Source organism: Homo sapiens, chromosome 1 (assembly GCF_000001405.40).
Source record: "Homo sapiens chromosome 1, GRCh38.p14 Primary Assembly".
NCBI classification, from domain to species: Eukaryota; Metazoa; Chordata; class Mammalia; order Primates; family Hominidae; genus Homo; species Homo sapiens.
This window is the reverse complement of record NC_000001.11, coordinates 169,975,955-169,995,409: the sequence shown is the minus strand read 5'-3', so window position 1 is coordinate 169,995,409 and position 19,455 is coordinate 169,975,955. Positions and strand designations below refer to the sequence as shown.

Below are 19,455 nucleotides of genomic sequence, written 5' to 3'. Positions count from 1 at the left end.
AGAGAAACTTTCCTTCAGAATATGAGTTTGCTTTAAAACTCTGTTTGAAAAGATTTTCAAATATCTCAATTTCCGGGGGAAAAAAAATAATGTAAAATACAGTCAGACCAAGACTAAGGGATTCCTACCTTCTTGGGGAATAAAGTTGGAATTTTTCATGTTTAACCTACGTATCACGAGAACCTGTTCAAACGTTAAGTTTTGCTATGGCAAATGTGCTTTATACTAGAATAAGTATAAATTGGTGCCTTCAACAGTATAAAAATGTGGTCTGTTAAAATCTAACATTAAAATTGATAAATCTTACATATTTAGATTGCTCCAAACTCAAGGACAAAATTGTTGGGGTTAAGAACATTTATTTGTCTGCACTTTTCTCTTACTTGGAGCGATTTCACAATTTTTACCTACTGCCCGCCAAATAAAATTCTTACCCCTAAACAAAAACTTTAAATATTATTTTCTCCCACATTACTTTATCTTAGCTTTATTTTAACCTTAGTCAATAATCATTATCCTTAGAGCCTATCTCTGACTCTAATTCAGCTTCTCTCTTCTTTATAAATTTTGTAGTAAAGCTCTTCAAACAATAGAAGAAATGTGAAATTTACCTTAAATGATTTGACTCTCTATTCTGTAAATTTTCTATAAATTTAATTTTTCTATAAATAATACCATAGGGAAAAATTAAAAATAGATGAAATAAATAAATATTATTTCATATAAATAAAATGTATTTCCTGTATATGTTGTATTCCAAATAGTTGAATTAGTGAATTTATAGATTTTATTTAAGGTGAAAATGCTTACTAGTGTCCATTCATCTGAAAAACATATATTGTTTTTATCTTATCCCAAGGAGTTGTTCTTACTGCTATTGTAAGCAGTAGGAAATAGAATTAGCCAAACAGTTTTGCAAGATGCAAAATCTAAAACCTGGATTTAAAAAGCAGTATATTTTTAAAACATGTTTAATTCCCTCATATATCAGTGTTTATCAGTCTTTTATACCTGATAATGTCTTACTTAGAAAACAGTTTTACCTTGTGATATAAAAATGTTGAATACCAAAGGCATCAAATGAGGAAGAAAAATGTTTGAGAGTAGTATTGTAACATAACCTGGTAAAGATTTGGGAATCAGAGAGACCTGTGGTTAAATCCCCACTCAACCACTGACAAGGCTGTGTGGCAAGTATTTATTTTTCTCTAAACTGTAGATTTCTCATCTGAAACATAGGGATGATAAGACCTATTTGACAGATTGTTTTGAGATTCAATGCCATACAGTCTGTTTAGCATGGCTCTTGATATATAGTAAATGTTTAATAAATTATTATTAACCAATCAACAATTATTAAATACCTACTCTGTGCTAGGTACTATTCTTGCATCTGGGGATAATGCAGTGAATAAAGTCCTTGCTTTCATGGAGGTTATATGTTAGATAAATATATCAAATGGTAAGGAAGTTCAAAGTAAATTTGAGAGATAGAAGATCACTGTATTTTTTGCTTACTTTTTTTTTGAGACAGTCTTGCTCTGTTGCCCAGGCTGGCGTGCAGTGGCATGATCTGGGCTCACTGCAACCTCCACCTCCTGGGTACAAGCAATTCTCCTGCCTCAACCTTCCTAGTACCTGGGATTACAGGTGCACACCACCACATCCAGCTAATTTTTATATTTTTAGTAGAGACAGGGTTTCCATGTTGGCCAGGCTGGCGTTCAGTGGCACAATCTGGGCTCACTGCAAGCCTCACCTTCTGGGTACAAGCAAATCACCTGCCTGAAGCTTGCTAGACCCTGGGAAACTGAATACTTCTGTCTCAAATCTTTGTCTCTAATTCTGAACCCCTTTTAGAACTAGTAATTTCTATCTTTGATTAAATGAGTTTATTTCTTCAGCTTTTATATTTAAATATTAAAAACAGAATCAATCAGCAGATACTTACTGAACAACTTCCATGTTCTACACTAGGCCTTGTGAAAATACCAGTTTAGGGCCAGGCGCGGTGGCTCACGCCTGTAATCCCAGCACTTAGGGAGGCCAAGGTGGGCAGATCATGAGGTCAAGAGTTCGAGACCAGCCTGGCCAATATGGTGAAACCCTGTCTCTACTAAAAATAAAAATAAAAAATTAGCCAGGTGTGGTAGTGGGCGCCTGAATCCCAGCTACTCAGGAGGTTGAGGCAGGAGAATCCCTTGAACCTGGGAGGTGGAGGTTGCAGTGAGCCAAGATTGTGCCACTGCACTCTGGCCTGGGCGACAGAGTGAGACTCTGTCTCTGAAAAAAAAAAAAAAAAAGGACAGAAAAGAAAATACCAGTTTATTTCCTCTAAAGAATTTCTAACTACCTTGGGAATATCTTCAGAATTTCTCATGGCCTAGAATTTTCAAAAAGGATATTGTTTTTTGGATAAAATTTTTAGTTAGGCAACTTTTCTGGCTCTAGTTTTATCACTGACTTTGAGATTGTAAGTAGGTCCTTAAAATATGTTCTGTCTGAAAGCAGGTAGGATTAAATAATATATTAAAGTCCCATTTTGTTTTTCAAATCTTGATATGTATTCACTTTTTTTCAGTTTCAAAGCATATAAAACCAGAATAATCTTACCTTAGAAGTTCTGAGACATTCTTCATACTATATTTCGGCTGTGTTATAGCCTATAGCATTTTATAGTCATATATTTTATTTTTTTGTTATAACTACTACTTTACTTCTTTCATCATTTGGATGATATTTTCAGTTTCTGATTTGTAGAAAGATGCTTTTTTATTTACTATATCTAAACATCACCACTGTCAATGAATGTATTAATCACATATTTTGATAAAACAGTAAAGATGGGGAGGCTAATGACCCAATTGTTTTTATATTGGACTCATGAAAATAATTAATTCCTATGGTTAATTTTCTTTTTCAAAACTATACCTTGGGAAATAGACATTCTTTCTTGGAAATTAGTGATGTTTCACATATAACATGAATATGCTTGCTCTAAATTTTGGATTTGAAATAGATAGCTCAAAATATTTTTCAGATTAAGTTTATATAAAGATTTTATTCAGTAGTTTAAGTTGTAGTACATTAACATGAGTGTGCTATATAAAAAATATATATTTATAGCATCATCACCATGATGTTTTATTCCTAGGCAATGACAACTACAAACAAATAGCAATGTGTGTTCTTTACCACATAAGCATGGATGACCGCTTTAAATCAATGTTTGCATACACTGACTGTATACCACAGGTAAGTGGTTTAAGTGTTTTATGAAAAACATTTAACAAATATATATATTTTTTACTCTTTTCTCTTGATTTGTCAAGATTTTCTCTCTAAAAAAGTTCTCTTCTTAATAATACTACAAATTTATTATAGAAAATTGAGGAAGTACAGAACTGTATAAAAATGAAAATAACTTTCCATTATCCCAAACTTAGAGATAACTATTTAACACTTTGGTACACTTCTCTCTACATACTTAAAAAATAATATATTGAGATTACATGGTATATGTAATATTTACATATTGCTTTATTAATATATCATAATTATACTCTCATGTCACTGAACATTCTTCAAAAATTATTTTTAATTGTATAATATTCTATTACATGGATGTAACATAATTTAAATATTGTTAAATTGTATGTTTAGATTTTTTCCCATTTATCACATAAAAATGAATGTAAGCAAATGAAAATAATGTGAGATATCATATTTGTAAATGCTTCCCCACGTCTCTGAATTTTTCTTTAGTTTAAATTCTTAAAAGTAGGATAGCTAAGTCAAAAGATAATAAACACTTGTGTCTTTGTTTTGGCCAAAATATCTTCTAAGAAAACATAAGTTTTTATTTCCAGCTAGCATTTAATTTTTAGCAACACTGGATATTATTGTTCTTCTAAATATGCAGTGGTTCGTTATTTCTTTTTATTTGCATTTCCATGAATATTGGTGAGGTTGAACATTTTTTCCTGTGTTTATTATCCATATTCTGTTACAGATCATTCATATCTCTTGCCAGTCTTTCCTTCCTTCCTTCCTTTTTTTTTTTTGAGACAGGATCTTGCTCTGTTGCCCAGGCTAAAGTTCAGTGGTACAGTCATAGCTCACTGGAGCCTTCATACCTAGGCTCAAGCAATCCTCCTGCCTCAGCCTCCTGGGTAGCTAGGACTACAGGTGTGCACCACCATGACTGGTTAATTTTTTTATTTTTTATTTTTTATACAGACAGGGTCTGGCTTTCTTGCCCAGGATAGTCTCAAACTCCTGGCTTCAAGTAATCTTCCCCCGCTTGTCCTCCCAAAGTGCTGGGATTGCAAGTATGAGCCACCAAAATGGGCCTTCCCAATTTTTTAACTGATTTGTTAATATTTTTATTATTAACAAATAAGATCAATGTATATAATAACTATTTTAATTTTATGTTACAAATATTGCTTAAGTTTGTCACATGTCTTTTAATTTTGTTTATGGTTAATATTAATAGTTTTAATTGCTTTGCATTCTCTGATGGGAAAATGTTTCATCAAAATTCTTTCATTTTTATACAACTGCTCTCAAGAAAGATTTTTGCTATGATTCAGTGGCTAGATATGTATTATATGTTAGGTCTAAATAGACCTAAATAAATATCTGTCCTAAATGTCTTGAAGGAGTTTATTGATTTTTTTTGTAACATGGACTGTATGTTATAAGGGTAGAGATTCTGTACATCATAACAATTTTACTCTTAGGGAATTAACATTCATAGGATCACTATTATGTCATTACTCTTTATTAAACTACCTTCCACTAATTTGAATTATGATTATTGTAACACTATTTGGGCTGATTTTTAATATTACATTATTTTTTATAAAATAGTTTTCTAAAACAAAAATTGTAGGATGTATGATATACAATAAACATACTCTGTGTAAAAACTTCACTAGAATTTTTGAAATATGAGCAAAATTATTCCAATGCTATCTTTGCATAATCTGCATTCCTGAGTTAAGGTATGCACTACTCTAAAGGATTGCTTTATTTGCATTTACTTTTCCTACCATGACACTTCCATAAACACTAAAAGATATTTACCTTCTGTACAACCAACAGACATGGGCTTGCTGAAAGAAGTCAATCTAGTCAATGTTAAAGTAAAGTTATATGCTAGTGTGAATTTTTGGTATTTCAAAAATGCCAGAATTTCTCAAATACACTCACCTCTAAACATCTGTAAAGTGTTCTCATTTCATACTGAACTCTGTGCTTCTTGTAAATATGCACTGATTGGAGAAGAGTAAATCGCTCTATTTTCCTTGGAGGTTCATGTCTGAAATTAATGGACAAAACAAAACCTGAGTCACTATGATAACAAAGCATAATTCCATAATTTTGTTAGAAGAATATGAACAAATCGTACTTATGAAGGTAATTCCTCTTGACTCCTACTACATAATTCCTTGTCTAAAAAGAATTATTAAATGCATGTTACTTGAAAAATAATATATAGTAAAAAATAGACCATAACTTTTTATTAATTCTAATTGACTGTTCTTTCATTCATTCCAAATTAAATAAAACAGTACTAAAAGTGATTTGCTATTCAAGAATTTTAACATTTCACTTACATGTATTTAAAAAATTGATAAACTCTCAAGGGTAATTTCTTAGACTTTTATATCAGGGGATAAACTAATTACGCTTGTTTATAGGAAATAGACATCCCTGAAAGAATATACAGCATATCTTATCTAGCAAGGCAGGTGTCTTATAGAGATAATGCATGTCAGACTATACTCAATGCAAAGTGTAATCAAACTCTTTGTCAAACAAGTTTTCAATAAAAGAGTAGCCAAGTCAAAGTGAGATTACAGGTGATTTACTACAGTCTCACTCCATATGTTCTAAAGGTTTCTGCTTTGCAGTTTCAAAGGGTGTTCCTTTTCCGATTCCATTTAGAGTCAGAACTTCATTGACCACAGGATATGAACTGGAAAGCAGCCAAAAACATAATATTCTTACCGAGATTGACTGTCTTTATCCAGATTTAGATTTTAAAGAGAATAGCATTAAATAAAAGATAAATAAATGCAAACCAAGAAGGATAGGAAACTTACTTATAGAATTTTGAATTTGGAGTTATCCTATTCTTCTAGAATGTATAATCTCAAATATAAAATGTAAAATTTTATTTTAAATGAAAGAATCAGAAATAAGAGTCTGTCTAGATTACTTTTTAGATACTGTTATTATTGCAATTTAAAACTGTGTATACAGAAAATTGCTCCCATACCTTTTCAGGAGCAATATCCGTGCATATTTTCTTACCAGACAGTTTTCTAACATCAAACATGTATGCAATGAAGTTTTCAGAACATGTGTAATCTGTATTTTGTGAACAATATTTCCCAAATTTAGGAGGTCAAGGATTTTTGATGTTTTCTTTTTCCCATTTTTTTCTTTTTGAAATTTCAGCCCTTAACAGAATAAGGTTATGTTACCCAATTATGTTGTAAACATCCCAAAGCTTCTATATGAGCTGGTATTTTGAGAAAACCAAATGATACTGTACAATATATTTGCTCCTAATGTGGTATCCAGCCTATAACTTTTAACTTATAGTGCCAAATTTTACATATTTAAAGAGAAAAGTTGACGTGGTTTTATTGCCACCCAGTGCCAAGTTAATTGCAAAATAAAAGAATCATGGAAAACAAGTCAGAAATTAAATGAAATTTCCAAGTTTCCTTCAGGAATTAAAAAGGTACTCCTTTAGAGGTATTGGCTACTCAAAGTAATGTATATAATATCAATAAGGCTTTAAACTCATTCATGAGTTTAATCAGCCACTGATTAACCTACTTACTAAAGTCATAACCCCGGTTGGAATATCTTAGAGTTAATATAATATTCTGTTCGTTTGTAATTATGCATATTAATTTTTGCTTGGTAAAAATCCTCATGTATTGCAAATAACATGACTTTGAATGTAGGAAAGCAGTGGCTTAGTAGTAATTCATATTCATTTCAATGATGAAAAAAATTGAATATAGTCATCTTCATTAATTACATATATTAAAGGAGCTTTATAAACTGTAAACTATATGAAAGTAAGATATTCTTAGTAAAATCTTTGTCACCATTTTGACCCATTTATAGTCCATTTTAAGTACTGCCTATCACATATGTGTTTTATAGAATAAACCTATAATTAGATTAGAATTCACTTTTAGAAAATATTTAGCATCCGGAGTGGGTGATTATATATACAACATGTCTCATAATCTCTCCCAATATTATATTGCTTTGCTTCCTTTGTACTTTATTACCTCTAGTTATCCAATGTATTCTAATTTTCTTACCCTATTGTATCACTGTTCTGTAAAATTTAGGGGCCAGGTCAAGTCTTTATACATGATCTTAATGGTCTCAGTGGGTAGATTGTTTCAGGTAGGCATACTTGAGGATAAGCGGGAGTTAATGGTTGTATTCTAATAATAGTTAAAAGTACACATTAACAGTTCATTGTTATTTAGACCTCTGAGATGCATGTTTTGTTTAAATGGGTGCAAATGCCATCCAGATGCTTATAAAAGTATTTATTGGTAATAGAATGGCCAATGAAAGTACATGGTTAGGTAGTGATGTCATGGTGTTATTTAATATTTTATCCTAGAACAGTGTGCAAGAATCTTCATAGTGATCCACATGTTTTCCACCACAGTTGTCCTATATGGCCCCCTTTGATCTACATGCTTCTTTTTAGCTGAATGCTGGTAAACGTCCTTTCTGACAGCCCCCTTTGCTCTTGCCTGCCATTATCTGCTGAAGTTCAGAAACCAGAGCATCACTTCAAACAGGAGAGTTAGGGAGTAGCCAGTCAGAAGAGATTCCGGAGGCATGCAAAGTTCTGGTATAATCATTCAAAGATGTTTGGGTAGGGGATGGGGGTGGTAGAGTTATATGTGAATACAGAGAGCTGTGGGGGTTGGCCTCTGGTCAGTGGTAAATAAGTGAAGTCAGGTGCCAGAGAGTCTAGACACAGTGATTTCAGTCATGGGTCTTTGGTATCTGATACTCAATATGGGACTTGTCTGATTGAACACTATTGCCTCTTCATCGCACAGACTGAAGCCCTTTTAGTGCTTTTCTGGTAAATTAGTAAAAGATGACAATGGACATAGTTAAAACAGAACAAATCTAGTTTTAATATTTTCTAGTTGTCAGCAATTACACTTACTTTTGAAGTGCCATCATAGCAATCAAATTAAAGACATACTCTTTCATGTGGAGTTTGAACTAAACATTGCTTTTTTAAATTTGAAAGCTTTAATTAAAATTGAAATGTTTATCTCTCTTATTATGAAAAACTAATTCTATATCATTATGCATTCCATTTATATTTAGTCCTAATTTAGCTCGATATGGGGAATGGGAGTTGAGTAAGTTTTCGAGCCATGCATTATTTTCTAAAAATCTAGTTTCTGATTGTTTATTTCTAGGTAGAATTTAATATGGAAATTACTTTAGAGAAAATTTACCTTCTAAAATAATGACCTGTAGCCCTGTGTTTAAGGCTAATTTTCATACTACAAAGGTTGATTTGAAGTAAATACTTTTTGTTAGCAATAAATACTTTGCTTGAAACATTGCTTCAATGTAACCGATTCTCAGATTGAAAAAAATCTATGGTAGGTTTTTAATTACAGTTTAGAAAACATAGCAATTAATTAGAGGATTGTCACCTACATTTTTGGTAATTTGTAATTTAATTTTTATTGGCAATTTTATTTGTAATTTAATTTTTATTGGGCAGATAGGTAGTGAAATCTGTTAAATATATATCCAGTAAATTAAGATTATTTTACTTTTGCCCTTGAATCTTTTTTTATTCTGTGGCATTATTAAGTATTAATGATTCTTACCCAGAGATACTATCAGTGGTAATATTTGTGGTTAAAGATCTGCCCTCAAGGGGAGCATATGATACATGCCAGCCGTTCACCTGCTACAGTGTTTTGTAATTTTCAGCATACAGATCAGTGTATTTGCTTAGAATTATACCTAACAATTTGAGTGGTATTGTGTTTTTTATTTAATTTAATTTAACCAAATTTAATTTTGGTTTTCAGCTGTTCATTGCTAACACATAGAAATGTGATTGATTTTTGTATATTGACCACATATCATTTTTGAAATGCAGAAGTCATCTTGAACTAACAGTAATCAAAACAAGATTTAACAGAAAGAGGTCTAAAATAAATAAATATTTATTATTCGCTGTGTTGGATTCATGAAGGCATGAATCCAACATGTTCTAAAAAGGTATTGCCCTGAGATAAAACATAGTAAGTTTTTATATTATAAATTTTAGGAATAACTTCTATTTGTTGTTAACAATTTGGGCTGAGAAAAAACTCTCTTTATGTACTATACACTAAGTTAATTTGCTGATTTGACAATAATAGAAGACTAGCTTCTCCAAAACATAGCATAAAATTTGTTCATTTGTCCTTTATTATAGCAGCTGTTTCTCACCATGACAAATCTAGATTACTGCTAAATGGCATAGGTAGCCTACCTTTTCCTTCTTACCTTTTTGTCTGTTGTTTTTCAGACCCTCTTTCTTTTTCTCTTATCACTAAAAATGTTTTTTTCTCATTTTATACCCATGCCCAAGTGATTGGATTTAGCCTGCAGCTTCAGTTTTCAACCATATATGCCAGTTCCTAAAATTATACCTCTAGTCCAGACATTTCTTCTAAACTCAGGCCTGTGTTTATGACTTCCTACTGAATACCTGCACTAGACTATCACATAAGCAGCTTAAACTCAACATATCTAAAACCAAAATTACTATCTTTCCTTTAAAGTTTTTTTCTACCCTAGTTTCTCCTTTTCGGTAGATGTTGGCAGCACCATGTATGTCATTTCTCAGTGCATAAATCCAGAAGTCATCTTTGACTCCTCCACTCCTTTAACCATAACATCTAGTCAGTTACTACATTCCATTTTGGTTCTGTTTTCTAAATATATGTCTAATCAATCCTTTTATCTCTACCTAGTTCAGACACCCATCTTCTCACTTGGACTTTTCCTCTAGCATCCTACCTGGTTCCCCATATTTTCTTGCAATTTTATTCTATTTTCTACACTGGGTAAATCTTTTTGAGACACAAATTTTATCCTGACACTTTCCTATTTAGAAGCTTTTAGCAGCTTCCCATTATCCTTCTTAGCACGAAGGCCAAAATCTTTAACATGTACTTCAAGACCCTGCATGATCTGGTTTTTACCTTCTTATCTCTTAAAACTGTTGTTTCCCTTTCACCAACAATGCTTGCTTGCTTTTAATTCTTCAAAGAGTACTGTTTTTTCCTGCATTGTGACCTTTGCATAAGCTATTTTCTTTGCTTGGAATGCTCTGCTTCCAAACAATATGTTTAATTATTTAAGGACAGATGTTTTATCTAATATTTCTCTTATATTCTCCACTGTACTTAGAAGTTTATATTTAATGCTGAGCATCTAAGAGTTCATTAACTGTTTATTCATCCAGTTGTTGAACAGTGAACGCCTGCCAGTTTTATGTGTTGAAATGTAAATAATTATATTATGCCCAATGTACAATCTAAGATAACACATTATGATAAAAATATTGCTTCTGTGTTTGGTTTTTTGTCTTTGTTTCTTGAGTAAAATGTGCCCTGTGCTTCTTGCTAGTTAATGAAGATGCTGTTTGAATGTTCAGATGAACGAATTGACTTGGAACTCATTTCTTTCTGCATTAATCTTGCTGCTAACAAAAGAAATGTACAGCTTATCTGTGAAGGTCAGTGCCTTTGAGTGTAGGTAACTTTTTTAGCATATGGTATTTGGTATATGATGGAAAATAGATATAAGGAATTAAGAATTATAATGATTATGTAAGTCCTGTTTTCAAATAATTTCTTCATTATAGCTATAATCCTTAAAGGTCAGATAGAATATTCTTACGTCATAAATGCAGACACTTACCTTCTGATAACATTTTACAAACCATGGTGAGTTAGCCTTAATTGAAATTTGATTTTTAAAACATTTTCTAGATAAAATGAAACTTTTTCTTTGCAAAGCAGTCTATTACAATATAAGGTAATAAAATACAAATGTATTAGATTATTTCTGTAATATCTTTGTAGAATAGCCTGTCATACATTATGATGTTTCAGAGTCTGCCCGATAGTTTTTGCCTTATTTGAAAAGTAGTATGTGTTTGTTATAAAAAGCACAAATGAGCAAAAAGGAAAAGATTTAAATCTTTATTTCCTACCATCCACAGATAATCATAGGTAAGATTTTAGTGTAATACTTCTGCATATTTTTAAATAAAAATGTGATTGTCTATATATCATGATACATTCTTTTAAAATTAGTAATATCTTGAAATAATATTTTATGTGATTAAGTGTTTTTATAAAGCATATTTGTTAATAACTGCAAAATTGTCTATTAAAGAATTTTGCCATAGTTTACTTCACTATTATGGATATAGTTCATTGCCACTTATTTTCCGTTACAAACAGTGCTATAGTAATTACCCATTCTCTGAATCTTTACACATTTTCATTTTTATATTGTTAGGATAAATTCCCAGAAGTACAATTTTTCTGAGTCAAAAGTATTTTTGTTTTTAACATTTGTAGTAGATATTGTAGGCACAAAAGAGCACATATGGTATGATTCTATTTATATGAAGTTCTATATCAGGCAAAATTTATATATGTTTAAAAATGAGACAGGGAAGAGGAAAAGTGATTATATCTGGGAAACAGGATTGACTGGGAAGGGGCACAAGTGAACTTTCTGGAGGGAATGAAAATACTCTGTATGTTGATATATGGTATGGGTTGCATCTAAATTAATCAAATTGTACCCTTAAGAGTTATGCATTTTACTAGATGTAAATTGTTGTGGCTTTTTTGAGAACTAAACAAAAAATTATTAAACTTAAGCTAACCTTAATTTTATTGGGGGACTTTTCTGTTTCAGGAAATGGGCTGAAGATGCTCATGAAGAGGGCTCTGAAGTTTAAGGATCCATTGCTGATGAAAATGATTAGAAACATTTCTCAGCATGATGGACCAACTAAAAATCTGTTTATTGTAAGTATCATTTTGGCTTTCTATTCAAATAGACTGGGAATTGAAATTGCTACATTTGGAAATACAGCTCTTACTGAGGTCTCGTCAAATATTAATTTATAATCCAAATTGCTCTTATGTTATCAACTTTGTTAGTTTAGCACCTAGAAATCTCAACCTATGTTTCAATGTTGTTTTTGTTTTGTGACCCTTACCCCTAATCCCTCCACCCCACTACAGTCTTCTTGCCTTAAACCAGTTCACCATAGGCTTCTTTAGCAATTTAGCTCAAGATTATTAAAACAAGAAAATCACATTTGATATTTACTTTTTCTTTCAATGAGTTAAATTGTTAGATTCCTGTGGGTTATTAGATTAAATAAAAAATAATTTAAATTTATATTAAAATTATGTTTTATTCAGGATTATGTTGGGGACCTTGCAGCCCAGATCTCTAATGATGAAGAAGAGGAGTTTGTGATTGAATGTTTGGGAACTCTTGCAAACTTGACCATTCCAGACTTAGACTGGGAATTGGTTCTTAAAGAATATAAGTTGGTTCCATACCTCAAGGATAAACTAAAACCAGGTTTGTGCTAAGTATTTCACTTTTGTATAATCACTAAGTTATTTCTTTCTGTTATGGATAAGGCTGCTAGAGCAGTATTGTGTGACTATTATTATGTTAGGAAAAGCCATTTCTTCTCACAGCTCTCTTCTCCCAGAAAGGTAGTCACTGGATCACCTCTTACATATATGTTCTCTTTTTCCTAAAAGTGTGTTTTCTTATGTTAGTTTCTATTTCCTATTCTACCTTTCTTGTGGTCTTTTGGTATTTTTTTATTCTGTCTCTTTAAAATTACCAAATACCATCCCTCTGCATATACATAAACACGCACAAAGGTCTTTGAGGCATTCAAATGAGTCTTTTATTTTCTGTGTCTATGTTGTCATTCAGTTGTACTCTCAAAGGCTCATTTCCACTTTTCTACTGCCCCCTGCCCCCACTATCACAAACTGTCATCAGCAAACATGGAAATTTGGAAAAAGGACAAATTTATAGCATATCAAGGATTCATATGACTTGATTTAATAGCTTTCAGTATCCTTTCTGTGTATTTACATTTTGATACTCTAAATGAATTTGGATCAGGACATTTCAGTGAAAACTTTCTATGGTTTGACTTCACTAGGTGCTGCAGAAGATGATCTTGTTTTAGAAGTGGTTATAATGATTGGAACTGTATCCATGGATGACTCTTGTGCTGCATTGCTAGCCAAATCTGGCATAATCCCTGCACTCATTGAATTGCTAAATGGTAAATAACCTTAATTTATTTTTATGTTAATGTCTAAACAGCTTATTGATTTAAATATTTAAATATAAAATGCAGAGTCTGTAATCTGTTTTTCTCATTACATTAATTGTTTCATAGCAACTTATATAATCAAGAAAAATGAATTAAATATACTGCTAACTGGGATTGGATAGAGTAATATCAAAGATCTTTAGCTTTCAAAGTTAAGAATGTTGCTGTAAAGCAGTTCAGGACCAATTTTACAGAAGTACTCTCCTCACCAACCTTGAACAACCAATATAGTAGTCACAACTTAATCAAGGGGAATACATTCCAAGACCCCCAGCAGATGCCTGAAACTACAGATACTATCAAACCCTATATATACTTTTTTTTTCTAAACATACCAATGATAAAGTTTAATTTATAAATTAGGCACAGTAAGAGATTAACAACCATAATTAATAATAAAACAGAAAAATTATAACAGTATGCTTAGCATCACTACTCTTATACTTTGGAGCCATTATTAAATGAAATAAGGGTTACTTGAATACAAGCATTGCAATACTATGCTAGTGGACCTGATAACTGAGATGGCTACTAAGGGACTAATGGGCAGGTGGCATGTACATCCTGGATACACTGGACAAAGGGATGATTCATGTCTTGGATGGGATGGAGTGGAACAGTGGGAAATTACATCACACTATTCAGAATTGTGCATAATTTAAAACTTATGAATTATTTCTAGGATTTTTCATTTAATATTTTTGACCATGGTTGACTGCAGTTAACTAAAACCATGGAAAGAAAAACCACAGATAAGGGAGGACCACTGTATTATATCACTTCTTTTTGTTTGTTTGTTTGTTTTTGTTTTGACTTTTTGAGACATAGTTTTGCTCTTGTTGCCCAGGCTGGAGTGCAATGGCATGATCTCGGCTCACCACAACCTCCGCCTCCCGGGTTCAAGCGATTCTCCTGCCTCAGCCTCCTGAGTAGCTGGGATTACAGGCATGCGCCACCACACCCAGCTAATTTTGTATTTTTAGTAGAAATGGGGTTTCTCCATGTTGGTCAGGCTGGTCTTGAACTCCCGACCTCAGGTGATCCGCCCACCTCGGCCTCCCAAAGTGCTGAGATTACAGGCGTGAGCCACTGTGCCCGGCTATATCACTTCTTTCTGTTGAGATTTGTGTTGGTTTGAATTGGATCTCTTCTCTTGTGCAAATCTTATTTTTTAAAACTTGATTTCTAAGTTGGAAGGTCCATTTGGAAGCTGATTCTAAACATCATATTCCCTTCTAGATCCGAATTTATTGTCCTCTGAAATTTCTTAGTTGATGAAAATGTTCTATATATGTGGTGTCCAACACATGTAGCTGTAGAACACTTGAAATGTGGCTGTCACAACTGATAACCTGAATTTTTGAATTAATTTAATTAGCTGCAGTGGTTTATGGCTACAATATTTGACATTGCAGGCCTAGAGTTTTCCCCTTGCATTTATATTACTCTTAAGGGGCAGGGCTCATTCTTCTCCATATTGCATACAAAATTTATCTGAATCTTATTAGGGCCAAGTTCTCTAGGATCTTACACATCATAACTAGCGAATAGTATAGAAGTTAAAAATGCTAATATGAGATCCCTGAAGAAGATACTCTCATCTCAGTTCATCTTGTACTAGGCATAATATATGTGCATTTTGTGTTAATTTTAATAGACTTTTCAAATATGTAATAACATACATAAATTGTAAGTATAGCTCAATGTATTTTCAGTGTAAGCATACCCATGTTATTATCACTCATGTAAGAAAATAAAGCATTACCAGTACCTTAGAAGTGCCTCTTCTCCCTCCTCTCAGTCATTACCACCTCCTTCAAAGTGGTTAGTTTGAACAAAAGATAGTTTATTTTGTCACCACTAGATTAGTGTTGCTTGGTTTTGAACTTTAATATATAAGTGGAATCTAGTTTATTTTGTTCTACCTTATATTTGTGACATTCATCTATGTTGTATACAAAAGTTTGTTCATTTTCATTGTTATGTATAATATTTTATTATATAAACATACCACCATTTATCCTTTCTACTACTGATGGATAGTAGAGTTAGGTTTTTGTGGGGGGGAGGACTATTATAAATAATGCTCCTATGAATATTTTGAAACCTTTCATTTGGTGAACATATGTACTCATTTCCATTAGGTTCACACGTAGGAGTAGAATGGCTGGGTCACAGAGTTTGTATGTGTTTGGCCTTAGTAAACTATGCCAATCTGTAGTTCTGCTGGTTTTCATTCTTACCAGTAGTGTAAGAGAGCTGCAATTTTTCCACATCACCTCCAATACTGGGCATTGTCAGTCCTTTCAATTGTAGCCATCATACTGGTATTTCATTGTGATTTTAATTTGTATTTCCCTAATGACTAATGAAGTTCATCACCTGTTTATGTTTATTGATTATTTAGGGATAGCCAGTAAAAAGATGTGCCTATTTAAGCCTTTTGTGCATTTTTCTCTTTTGAGTTTTTTTAATTTAATTTGTAAGTTCCTTAATATAATTCATTTTAATAGGTCATCTAGAGATAATGCCCCATATTTGAAGTATTCCTTCCCAAAATTTTAGCATATTTGTATTTACTTTGGTACACTCTTCTCACAGTCAGTTTTCAGATCAGAAATAATTAAAAGAAAGACTAAGTAGTTGGGAGGTAAAAGTAAAGACACGTAGTTGATAGAGTGAGAATGAAGATTTTGTGGAGAGCTGAAGAAAGTTGAAGCAAAATGACCTGCATCCTGGAATTGCTGTCCCATAGTGATTATAATCAAGAGAGCTAAGATATTCATAAAGTGATCTGACACAGCCAGCTCAGAGTGTTTTACTATGTTTTGGTGTTCTCTGACATGAGATTATCACAGGCAGAGGCTTTATAATACTCTTTTTAAGAAATATACAGATTTTCAAGATTAAAACCATTGGTATTAAGTGAGGGAATACTGTATACCAAGATAGTAATTAATAGTGAGAAATTTAGCCCAATTTGTTTGGGAGAGTAGTACTTTGGCAAGTTAGTGAGGGAGATCATTTGGGACAAATTGAACTTTAAGGGACCCACAATTTATTCTACACAACTGGTTTGATACTCTGTTGACCTGAAACTCTGTTTCTAAAATGTCATTGAACTTTTACCAAGAGTTGATAGCAAACTATACTATTAAATCTAATTTCATAATCATTACCTAAGGTTAGATTTCTATAAGCAATTATGCTTTTTCCATTACATATTAATCAGTGGACATCAGCTGTTATGTAAATTACTTTGTATGATATTAAAGGTTTATTAATTAGCCTTTATGATTATGTAACTTTTTTACTATTATAATTAATTAGATGGAAACTAAATTACTTATTATTTCATGCAATCTGTAAAGTTTAACATTATTCAACAAAAGGAAATACCTTTTTATGATAGTTCAATTTCCACCAAAAACTTAGAGTTTAGAAGGTATAATAATTTTTAAGAATTATTTTTCTCCTGAGAAGTCAACATTATAAAGACAAAATAGAACCAGGTTTATTTTACAAATTAGAATTCTTTAAAGAATTCTTATGATGAATAAAACAAGTGGTGATAACTGTTACTATTTTACATTAGGAACATAGAAGTTAAATCCATTTCTGCTTGCTTGTCTCCTTATCACTTTTAGTTTTTCTCGTTCTATATTATTCCCCTCAATTATTTTAAATTTGGTATATAAACATAGTATTCTTTATTTGAATTTTTTGTTTATTTACAGCTCAACAAGAAGATGATGAATTTGTGTGTCAGATAATTTATGTCTTCTACCAGATGGTTTTCCACCAAGCCACAAGAGACGTCATAATCAAGGAAACACGTATCCTTTCAGTGTTTACCGTAGATAACAATATTTCACATATTCAGAAAAGATGCATCTTTGAGTTGTTTTTTTTTTTGCAAATGTTGAAATAACGTAGAAAACACTAAGTTTTGAGATAAATTTACAAGATAACCTATTTTCCATGGAAGCTGTTGACCCCAAATCAGTATATAGGTAGAATATAATGAGAACAATTTTATTAACTTGTCAGGTTGTGATTCCTAAGAAACTTAACAAACATATCAGAACTTCCTTCTCTATTAACACACTGTAAGCATCAGAGGTTCCTAGGACTATTCTTGGTTCTTTTCTAATCTTACCTTATTTACCCTACTTGGGAAACCACATCTATTTCCATGAGTTCAGCTACCAACTATATGCTAACTATTTAATCTTCATAACCCCTATCTTGAGCCCTAGGCATTTGTTGCTAACTGCCTCTTGGATACCTTCCACCTACCTAAAGGGGCATAGCATGTTGTAGCCTAAAGAGCATTGTAAATCAAATAGCCCTAATTTTAATTACCTTTTGCTACTTACTAAGCTGCAGGACCTTGGAAAAAGTTACTTAACCTCCCTAGGATACAATGAGGTACCTAAAAAATGCCCGTAACGTTAATATTAAAATAAAAAGACCTCCTACCTTGTAGAATTGTTGTAAGTACTAATGGATTTAAATTGCCTGTAATAGTTCCCAATACACAGAGGTACTTAGTACCTGGTAGTTTATCATTCTCGCATCCAAAGGGTACTCAATATTGGTAACATCCTCTCCTGATAAGCAAAGCAGTCCTGCCATCTGTATTCATTGTGAATAACAACATTGTCATCTACACAGCCTCTTAAGCTGAAAATTTTGATATCTGCTAACTCTTTTACTACATATAATTAAACATTCATTTATTCACACATTTCTCAAGCTTTGACCATCTAAACAGATACTGGCTTATGTGTTAGATATATAAGAAAGTCCTTGACCTCAGGGAGTTTATAGTTTAGTTGGAGAGATAGACAAGTATAATATACAAGAAATATAAAATTATAATCCAGTGTGATTGGCCAGGCACAGTGGCTCATGCCTGTAATCCCAGCACTTTGGGAACCTGAGGTGGGAGCATCACTTGAGCTCAGGTGTTTGAGACCAGCCTGGGCTACATAGTGAGGCCTCATCTCTACTAAAAATAAAAAAATAAAATATGAGCTGGGCCTGGTGATGCATGCCTGTAGTCCCAGCTACTCGGGACACCGAAGCAGTGATTATCACATGAACCTGAGAGGTCAAGGCTGCAGTGAGCTATGATTGTGCCACTGCATTCTAGCCTGGGTGGCAGAGGGAGACCCCATCTCAAAAAAAATTAAAAATTCTGGAACCATATAGAGTTTCCAGGAGTCAAGTCTGGTAAATAACAAGTCTAATTTGAGAAATGTTAATATTAATATGGGCTATCGAAATACAAATACTATTCTGCCTTAACAGCTAACAGTACAGAAAGTAATAAATATTTTTAATATGGTTTATAAACTGACTTTCCCAGAAAGATAAACTCCAAATATGCTTTTGAACAGTGTTAAAATAATTGGAATAAATTCATTTTTCCCCAGCTGTATTCCATGGAACATAAGTATTAACAGCTGCTTAATGAAAAAAAAAAGGTTCTCTGATAGTAAATAAGTTTGGGAAACACTGAGTTAAAGTTAACAAGTTTTCTTGCTACAGAGTCTTCTTGGAACCTTTAATATGCTTTTTTGGGTTGAGAGTCTCTGAAGATGTATTTTATGTGTAGAATTACTTAAAATTTACATAACTATAGAAGCCACTACAGAAAACAGTAAAATGAAAATGTAGTTTTTCTAGGTAACTTCTTTGAAATACCACCCTATTTACAGGTCATCTCATAGGGTTTTTTGTGAGGACTAAAAAGTGAAGTATTTAAAGTACCTACCAGGTACCTGTACACAGTGAATAAGTGTTACTGCCTCTGTTTTGGGATGTCTGTTTAAAATGTACATTTAGTACCTTATTATCAAAGCCCACAGAATTAAGAGAATTCCTATTTGACCTTTCTTTTCAGTGTAACTTTCTTTGCATTTTCCCCCAAGTTTAATTTTTGTTTTATGTCACTAAAT

The 19,455-nt window shown here is 32.4% G+C and overlaps 1 protein-coding gene and 1 pseudogene across 10 annotated transcripts in view; one reads left to right on the top strand and one right to left on the bottom strand.

Annotated features, from left to right (window-relative positions):
* The window catches only part of KIFAP3 (kinesin associated protein 3), a 163,856-nt gene that overhangs the window by 89,775 nt on the left and 54,626 nt on the right, over positions 1-19,455 (top strand). For 9 of the 10 annotated variants that reach the window (XM_024454186.2, NM_001204516.2, NM_014970.4 and 6 more), the window contains 6 exons: positions 3,155-3,255; positions 10,720-10,828; positions 12,028-12,140; positions 12,543-12,708; positions 13,313-13,438; positions 17,227-17,325. In XM_024454186.2, coding sequence (XP_024309954.1) covers positions 3,155-3,255; positions 10,720-10,828; positions 12,028-12,140; positions 12,543-12,708; positions 13,313-13,438; positions 17,227-17,325 — 714 coding nt within the window. Of the gene's footprint in view, positions 1-3,154; positions 3,256-5,318; positions 5,452-10,719; positions 10,829-12,027; positions 12,141-12,542; positions 12,709-13,312; positions 13,439-17,226; positions 17,326-19,455 lie in introns of those variants that run through there. The other variant, XM_047449537.1, reaches the window with a different exon arrangement.
* On the bottom strand, positions 5,205-5,335 carry MRPS10P1 (mitochondrial ribosomal protein S10 pseudogene 1; annotated as a pseudogene).